The sequence below is a fragment of the Homo sapiens genome, chromosome 1 (assembly GCF_000001405.40).
Source record: "Homo sapiens chromosome 1, GRCh38.p14 Primary Assembly".
NCBI lineage: Eukaryota > Metazoa > Chordata > Mammalia > Primates > Hominidae > Homo > Homo sapiens.
Genome location: NC_000001.11, coordinates 37,591,109 through 37,599,079, shown reverse-complemented (window position 1 = coordinate 37,599,079; position 7,971 = coordinate 37,591,109). Strand labels below are relative to the sequence as shown.

General features: G+C 43.5%; 1 protein-coding gene across 3 annotated transcripts in view, besides 2 other annotated features; it reads left to right on the top strand.

The window, feature by feature from the left end:
• The window catches only part of GNL2 (G protein nucleolar 2), a 29,122-nt gene continuing 24,293 nt past the window's right edge, over positions 3,143-7,971 (top strand). For all 3 annotated transcript variants that reach the window (NM_001323624.2, NM_013285.3, NM_001323623.2), the window contains exons 1-3: positions 3,143-3,321; positions 5,234-5,318; positions 6,274-6,368. Coding sequence is in view for 2 of the 3 variants with exons in the window: in NM_013285.3 (NP_037417.1) it covers positions 3,258-3,321; positions 5,234-5,318; positions 6,274-6,368 (244 nt within the window). In the remaining variant the exon portion in view is untranslated. The remainder of the gene's footprint in view (positions 3,322-5,233; positions 5,319-6,273; positions 6,369-7,971) is intronic.
• Positions 3,225-3,414: an enhancer, noted in NCBI's record as "active region_771". NCBI's record gives its function as "activates an Ori minimal core promoter by ATAC-STARR-seq in GM12878 lymphoblastoid cells {active_cell/tissue: GM12878}" and the evidence as "EXISTENCE:reporter gene assay evidence [ECO:0000049][PMID:35858748]".
• Positions 3,585-3,644: an enhancer, noted in NCBI's record as "active region_770". NCBI's record gives its function as "activates an Ori minimal core promoter by ATAC-STARR-seq in GM12878 lymphoblastoid cells {active_cell/tissue: GM12878}" and the evidence as "EXISTENCE:reporter gene assay evidence [ECO:0000049][PMID:35858748]".

Here is a 7,971-nt window from a genome sequence, read left to right as displayed (position 1 = left end):
CAAGACTCTATCTGAAAAAAAAAAAAAAAAAAAAAAAAGTAAGGTCAGGATTGTCTGCTTCCTGTGAAGACACCAGTCCAGAACATGGCATTTCCAGCCAGTCTCCATCCATTAAGGTCTTCTCATTCACACAAACCTGTGGTTACCAGGAGCAACATTTGAGGGGATGAGTAGCTCACCTTGGATTTTGAGAAAAATAGAAAGCATCCCTGGCCGGTGCAGTGGCTCATGCCTGTAATCCCAGCACTTTGGGAGACCGAGGCGGGAAGATCTCGAGGTCAGGAAATTGAGACCAGCCTGGCCAACATGGCGAAACCCCGTCTCTACTAAAAACACAAAAATTAGCTGGGCATGGTGGTGCGTGCCTGTAATCCCAGCTACTTGGGAGGCTGAGGCATGAGAATAGCTTGAATCTAGGAGGCAGAGTTTGCAGTGAGCTGAGATCATGCCACTGCACTCCAGCCTGGTGAAAGGGCAAGACTCCATCTCAAAAAAAAAAAAAAAAAAAAGAAGAAAAATAGAAAGCATCCCATCTGCATGATGTGTACCATGTCTGCGATGCTTTCATATACTGTAACTCATATGATCTTATTGCAGTCTTTCAGAGTAGTTAAGCTATTGCATCTGTTTTAAAGCTGAGGAACTGTAGACCTGGAGGTGTATCTTGCCTCTGCTAGTTGGCATGACATCAGAAAAGAGAGTGAAAAATAGTCACTGCATTACAATGCGGCAAGCAGGGCAGGCAAATCAAACCAGTAACTTAAGCTTGACTTACCTTGATCAGGCTTTTTATCTGCTGGTAGAATTGAAGTTGGTTGTCGAGATCGGCAAATATTGTTGTAAAAGGATTGATGGGTCAGATTATAAAAATAGATGGAAAGTTTGTAAGATAAATGCAAGCAGAGTATGAGAACAGGAGAGAAACAACCCACCATATCATCTGGGAAAATGAAACTCCTTGGCAAGACTTCACAACAGCCTGATTCAAAATTTCATAATGAAATTATGTCTCTGATCAAAGCCTGAATGAGCTCATAGGCTGATTTTTGCCATCCGTGTTTATTCTGGTTTGCACCAACTTGAGGCATCAGAAACACATTAACTGAATCTTCTCTCTGGGAGGAGGCTATGGTATCCTTGTTTTGGGGATCAGAGGGACAGTGTGGGGTGGAAGGGGGCATCTTCACTGATCATGAAGTTTTTTCCAAATAGCTCTCAGAGCTTCCCTAACACAGGTCACAGTCAGGGCCTTCCCAGCAGAGCTGCATTTAATCTCATGATACTTGCCCTTGGGGCAATAAAAGCGAAGCTTGAGGGACAGAAGGTATTTCCAGCTCTAGCCTATGACATGGCCTGCTTTTGCTCTAAAGAGAATGTTTTGGGGTTTGTTTCAAACTCAGAGAAATAAAGACTCAATCATCCCCTGCTCAATTAGAATACCTCACTTTATAACAAATTGTTTGTTTTTATGAAATGAGCTACACTGCATGAATCCACCCTTCCTCTTGCCTAACCATCTCTTCTTTGGCCTATCCAGAGGGTACAAAGATGGCCATTTTCTGACAATTTGAGGTACCAAAAAAGAGAGAGGGACCAGGCGAGGTGGCTCACACTTGTAATCCCAGCACTTTGGGAGGCTGAGGCAGGTGGATCACCTGAGGTCAGGAGTTTGAGACCAGCCTGGCCAATGTGGTGAAAGCCCGTCTCTACTAAAAATACAAAAATTAGCTGGGCATGATACCATGCGCCTGTAATCTCAGCTACTTGGGAGGCTGAGGCAGGAGAATTGCTTGAACCCGGGAGGTGGAGGTTGCAGTGAACCGAGACCGGGCCACTGCACTCCAGCCTGGGCAACAAGAGCGAGACTCCGTCTCAAAAAACAAAAACAAAAACAAACAAACAAAAAATAAATTGTAAAAAGAGAGAGGGCTTCTTGGTTCAAACACTGGCATCTAGACACTTTATTCTGGCTAGTAGAAACAGAAATCACTGGGTCTTAATGCCTTCCTTCATCCTCAAGGCAAGAGACATTCCCATCTACTCATTCTTTCACTTAATGAATATTTTTTGAGTCCTTTGTTTCAGATGCTATTCAAGTCTTAAAGACACAGCAGTGAACAAATTAACAAGGTCCCTGCTTTTAAGAATCTTACATTCTAGTTTGGGGGAAGCAGCCAATAAACTTGTAAAAAAAATTCAACTAGTGATAAATGCCATGAAATAAATAAAACAGAATACTGTAACAGAATAACTGTGAAAGGGTGAAAGGTGGCTGATTTAGACAAATTAGACAGGAATGAGTTCTCACAGCAGGAAGGGTCACCAGATAAAATACAGAACGTACAGTTACATTTGAATTTCAGGCAAACGATGAATACTTTTTTAGTCTAAGTATTTTCCAGGCACTGTTGGAGGTGTACTAAAGAAAAGTATTCATTTTTTTTCTCTGAAATTCTAATTTAATTTGGTGTCCTGTATTTCTATTTGCTAATTCTTGCAGGCCTACCAATAGGTGATATTTGAGCTTAGGATTGAATGACAGCTATGCAAAGATTCTGGGAAAGAGTGATTCAGGCAGAGAGAATATCCAGTGTAAATGTCAGAATAACCAGAGGGAGGGACGTACACATGAGATTAGATAAATAGGCAGGCAGGGGCCAGATCACAGAATCCTGTAGGGATGGCAAAAAGTTTGAATCAATCTCTGTCTCTGTCTGTTTCTCCCTTCTCCCTTCCCCTACCTCTCATTCTAAGAGTGATGATAAGCCACTGGAGTTGTAAGGAAGAGAATGACACCTCCTAACGGATATTTGGCTGCTGTGTGGTCGGCAACTTTTGGAAGGACTTAGAAGACAAATTCAGAAGACAAACTTAAGCTTGTGCCACTGGCCTGGGAAGAAGCTTCTTTATTCGGAGGTGGACCCAACTGGGAGCTCTGGCCGCGCGTTCAGGTTAACTAGGCGGTTGCTATGAACGGGCAGCTTGGCGGTTGCTAGGGCTGGAGCGGGCTGGGGCTCCACGCAGGGCGACGCCTAGGCGGCTGGAGCGGGGGCGGAGCCAGGAGGGTGACGGCGCGCGCCGCGCGTTCACAGGAAGTCGCTCTGAGGCCGAGAGGGACGCGAGCGGAAGTGACGTACGTCGTGCACACGTGGTCCGGCGTGGTTCAGGCGGGTGTCTTCGGCCGGGCTTGGGAACATAAAAGTTTGTTTCACCACGTAAGCCGGACCTCGCACTCCGGTCCCGGTCTCGTCGCCAAGATGGTGAAGCCCAAGTACAAAGGACGGAGCACCATCAACCCGTCCAAGGCCAGCACAAACCCAGGTACAGGCGGCAGGGCTGATCGAGGGTGGAGCTTGGAGGAAGTATAGGGAAGGGCTCCGAGGAGCACTGGAGGGGAAGGAGGGTTACTCGAGTGGCATTGCTTAGAATGACTACGAGCGGGGTGGCTGTTGGGGATGAAAAGGGAAAAAGGAAAGCAATATTTGTGGTGGTTTCTTCTCAGGGGGGAACTGAGGAGGGCTCAGTGCACGCCTGGCAGGCCAAAGTGTAGTCAACTGGTCTGAAGTCAAGGAAAGTGAACACTCAGGCTGACAGCCTTGGGTCCTCTCCAGTTGAGAGATGCAGAGAAAGTCAGATTAAAAATGGTGTAGGTTGACCCTTCGGGCCTTTTACACGTGATCATACTTGCCTGCCACCTTAGCTTTGACCTTTAAAATGAGAAAGGGCTTATAGTTTTGGCCCTTGGAATTATTCTATCTGGTAAAGTGCTTAGAGAACCCTACAAAGAAGTCAGTATGATCATTGCAGTAAGGCTGTTTAGGAGATGTGTGTAAGTTTTGGCGAGGTTCCACCTGTACGATTAACAAGACATCCTATGGGAGAGTTCCTTCCATTCAGGTTTAATTAATAAAACTTTGTTTTAAAATATGGTTTAGAATTTTTGACAATTTTAATGCAAGTTGAATGTTTATTCCGGATTGATAATAAATTATTCACTTTGCACAAACTGGAATCTCAGAATGTTAGACCCCAAAAGGCCCTTAGAGATTATGATTTTACAGGTGAAGAGACTGAATCAAAATACAGGAAGTGGCCTGTCATAATTGCAACAGTTAGTGAGTAGTAGTAGAGCCGCCAGTTTCTACTGTTAGAGACTGTTAGGAGAGCCAATGGGCTGTGGTTTCAGCCTGTCTTCTACTGTATCACTTCAGGACCAGACAGGTGATTTAAGGGGCTCCTGGCCAGGTGTGGTGGCTCACGCCTGTAATCCCAGCACTTTGGGAGGCCGAGGCGGTCGGATCACCCGAGGTCAGGAGTTCAAGACCAGCCTGACCAACATGATGAAACCCCCTCTCTACAAAAATACAAAGATTAGCCGGGCATGATGGCGGATGCCCGTAATCCCAGCTACTCGGGAGGCTGAGGTGGAAGAATTGCATGAACCGGGGAGGTGGAGGTTGTAGTGAGCTGAGATCGCGACACTGCACTCCAGCCTGGGTGACAGAGCACGACTCTGTCTCAAAAAAAAGATAATAATAATGAATAAATGAATAAATAGGTAAATAAAGGGCTCCCAAAATGAGAAGCTAGGCTAGTATTACCCTATTCGTTTGTCCTTCTCTTTCTCTTTGAGATGTAAGGCAAGAATTGCTGTGTTGATTAAACAAAAATCAAACATTAAGAAAGTAAGAACACATATATCAAAATTATAGTCTCCATGGTGCCTTGCATGGAGCAGGCACTCAATATTTGTTAAACTGAGACACAGAGGTAGGTATCTTCGTGGTTAAGACCATAGATGGTGATCAAATGCTCATGTACAAATTCTGGCTCTGCCATTTAGTAACGGTTTGACCTTGGGCAAGGTGTCTGACCACTGTGCCTCAGTTTCTCACTCCGCAGCATGGGGATAATATATCTATAGGATTATTGTATAGATTAAATCAGATGATGCCTATAATTTGGATAACACAGTGCCATCATAAGTGCTCAAAAATATTAGCTATTCTTCTCAAATACAATCCTATCGAAGATCAAAGATTGGGTCAGCTTTGTCATACCATGTAGCTTCAAGTACTAATTATTGGAGCAACATATGGAGAAAGTAGAGATTTTTGTGGTTGGTGGCTTCTTACCTAATTTGGGTGAACTACTTGTTGCATTTTAAGCAATGACTTGTTGGTTATACTGGTTGGTTATCAAATAGTGCACTGTGTACTTCTGCCTTTTGTAGATCGAGTGCAGGGAGCAGGAGGCCAAAACATGAGGGACCGGGCCACCATCCGGCGCCTGAATATGTATAGGCAAAAGGAGCGCAGGTGAGCACTGGGTGCTGTCATCCTTTCTCTTTTCCTTCATGCCCTTGACTGCTAGCTGAGACTGATGAAGCCTTTGCTGTTCTCACCCCCACTTCCTCCAAATAGGAGTTATATATTCTCAAATATAATTGTACGTGAGTGTCGTTAGGATAAAGTGTTAACTTTTGGTTAAGGACATGGGTAGCTGGCGGTGAAATAGTGATGGTTTCACAATACTCAAAAGTAGAGGTCTTGTTTCTCACAGCCCTGACCTCCACAAATGGCGCATTAAATCTCAGAGTTAAATATGGCCAGATATAACAAAACCTACAGGACTGTAGTTAGGAAAGCCACCAGAAAATGTGTTTTTTAATGCCAAAATGTAGATCATGACATTGTGGCACTTGGACAGTCATCAAAACTCCGAGTTCTGCTGAGGTAGCCTCTACCACAGGGATTTGCTGAGTGTGGCATTCCGCTAACTGGTCTTAATTTGTTTGGTAATTAGATTCTCCATCTCCGTCTGTCCTAAAAGATGTGACTAAAATACAAATGTCAAAGAACTTAATATGTGTAGTCATCTACTTTGCAGTTTGTTTTAGAATTTGGAATTCCGGCGTAAATCACCCTCTACGTGAAAAATTCATTTAAACCAGCCTTTGAATAATTACCCAAAAAACTCAAGTATGTATGTGTTTTTTTTTTAAAGTAAACAGTAACCAGATTTTTTAGAACGTCACCATTAGTTGTTATTCATCTAGCAGAAATCATTACGTGCTCTGTTGCAAGAGGTTAAATGGCTTTTGGGCAATCTGTTTCAAATGTAGAAGTACTTTGTGTTTACTGGAATTGGTATTTCATGATCATTTAAAACCAAAGTAAGAAGTCCTTTTGATGGAAAATATATTCTGTAAATCAAACTTCGCTGTTGCCATTTTTCTGTTGTCAACCAATATCTGTTCTTTCCTCAATTTAGGAACAGTCGTGGTAAAATAATTAAACCCCTGCAATATCAATCAACGGTGGCTTCTGGCACAGTGGCAAGAGTAGAGCCAAATATTAAATGGTTTGGTGAGTATTATCCCCTGTTACTTTGCTCTACAAAATATATGCTGAGTGGAAACGGCTAGGATGTTTAAATGTCTAAACAGCAGGAGTTTTTGGTGAGTGAAACCGGCAAGGATTATCTGAGAAAGGGATAAGAAGAATTACTGGGAAAAGTAGTGGTGGTCAATTTAATAAATAACTTCTTTTTGAAGAGCGCTCACCATTAGTAATTGTAATTGAACCCTCTTAAGCAGATAAGACCATCCTTAATGACTAGCATTCACAGACCTTAGAATGCTCATCTTAATCTTTTCTGCTTTCCTAAAGAGATACTGTTGGAGAGGTGGCCTTGTAGGTTTTGTGCATATATCCTTCAGGGTAAGTGCATTAGCCCGAAGTTCCTCTGAAATACTTCTTAATGGGGTTTTTATTTGAACTTGGGTGACAATTAAAGGGTCTCACTGTTGAACTGTCCAACAGTGAATAGAGTATCTTCAGTCTCAGGGTGATCACAGCTTCTTCCTTGGAAAACTCCCTGTCTCATTTCAGTCTGGGCTCTTAACTTTGCCCTTAGCCACTGGTAAATGTATGGGCACTTTAGATGATCAGACCCCAGTGTTTGCTTGGTGTTTGACCTCTGTCCTTGGGGGCAGGTGGCAGCTATCTTTGAGTCTCTTATACTTTCAGTGGGATACTTCCTAAGAACTGCAACACAGAAAGGTGTCAAAACTCTGCAGAGAAGCATTTAGCATGGCTGCTGGGTACTGTGACTCGATTAGACTGCCTGGGTTTGAATTCTAGTTCTGTCATTTATGTGCCAGTGGGCAAGTTATTAAGTCTGTCTGTTCATCAGTTTTCTCATCCCTAACATGAGAATAAGATGAAACCTATCTCATAAGACTGTCATGGTAATCAAATGAGTAAATACAGGCAGGGCGCAGTGGCTCACGCCTGTAATCCCAGCACTTTGGGAGGCCAAGGCTGGTGAATCACTTGAGGTCAGGCATTCGAGACCAGCCTGGCCAACACAGTGAAACCCCCATCTCTACTAAATATACAAAAATTAGCCAGGTGTTGTGGTGGGCACCTGTAATCCCAGCTACTTGGGAGGCTGGGGCAGGAGAATCCCTTGAGCCCAGGAGGCAGAGGTTGCAGTGAGCTGAGATTGTGCCACTGCACTCCAGCCTGGGTGACAGAGTGAGACTCCATCTCAAAAAAAAAAAAAAAAAAAGAGTAAATATATATAAAGTGCTTAGAATAGCGCCTAGCAAATAGTGAGTATAATATAAGCATTACTTGCTACCGTCATTACCACCTTGCTGTTTTGCATTTATGCCGCAGCATGCTGTTTAATTGAATGCTTTTCAGGGTCTCCCTCACAAGATGTTTTCCAGGTGGTGGTGCAGGGCTCTATCTTGTTCCCTTGCATGGACTCATTGGTTAATAGTCCCTTTGAATCCTCATAACCCTAAAAGTGGCTAACTATGACTCAAATTTCAGTGTTTCAAGATTCTCTGTCTATACTGACTGATCAGCTGTGATTGGCTCCAGGTTTCTCTGCTAGATCTAGCAGGTAGTAGGACATTTGACAGATCTCAGTTCCATTCCACGCTATTTATTTCTCAGT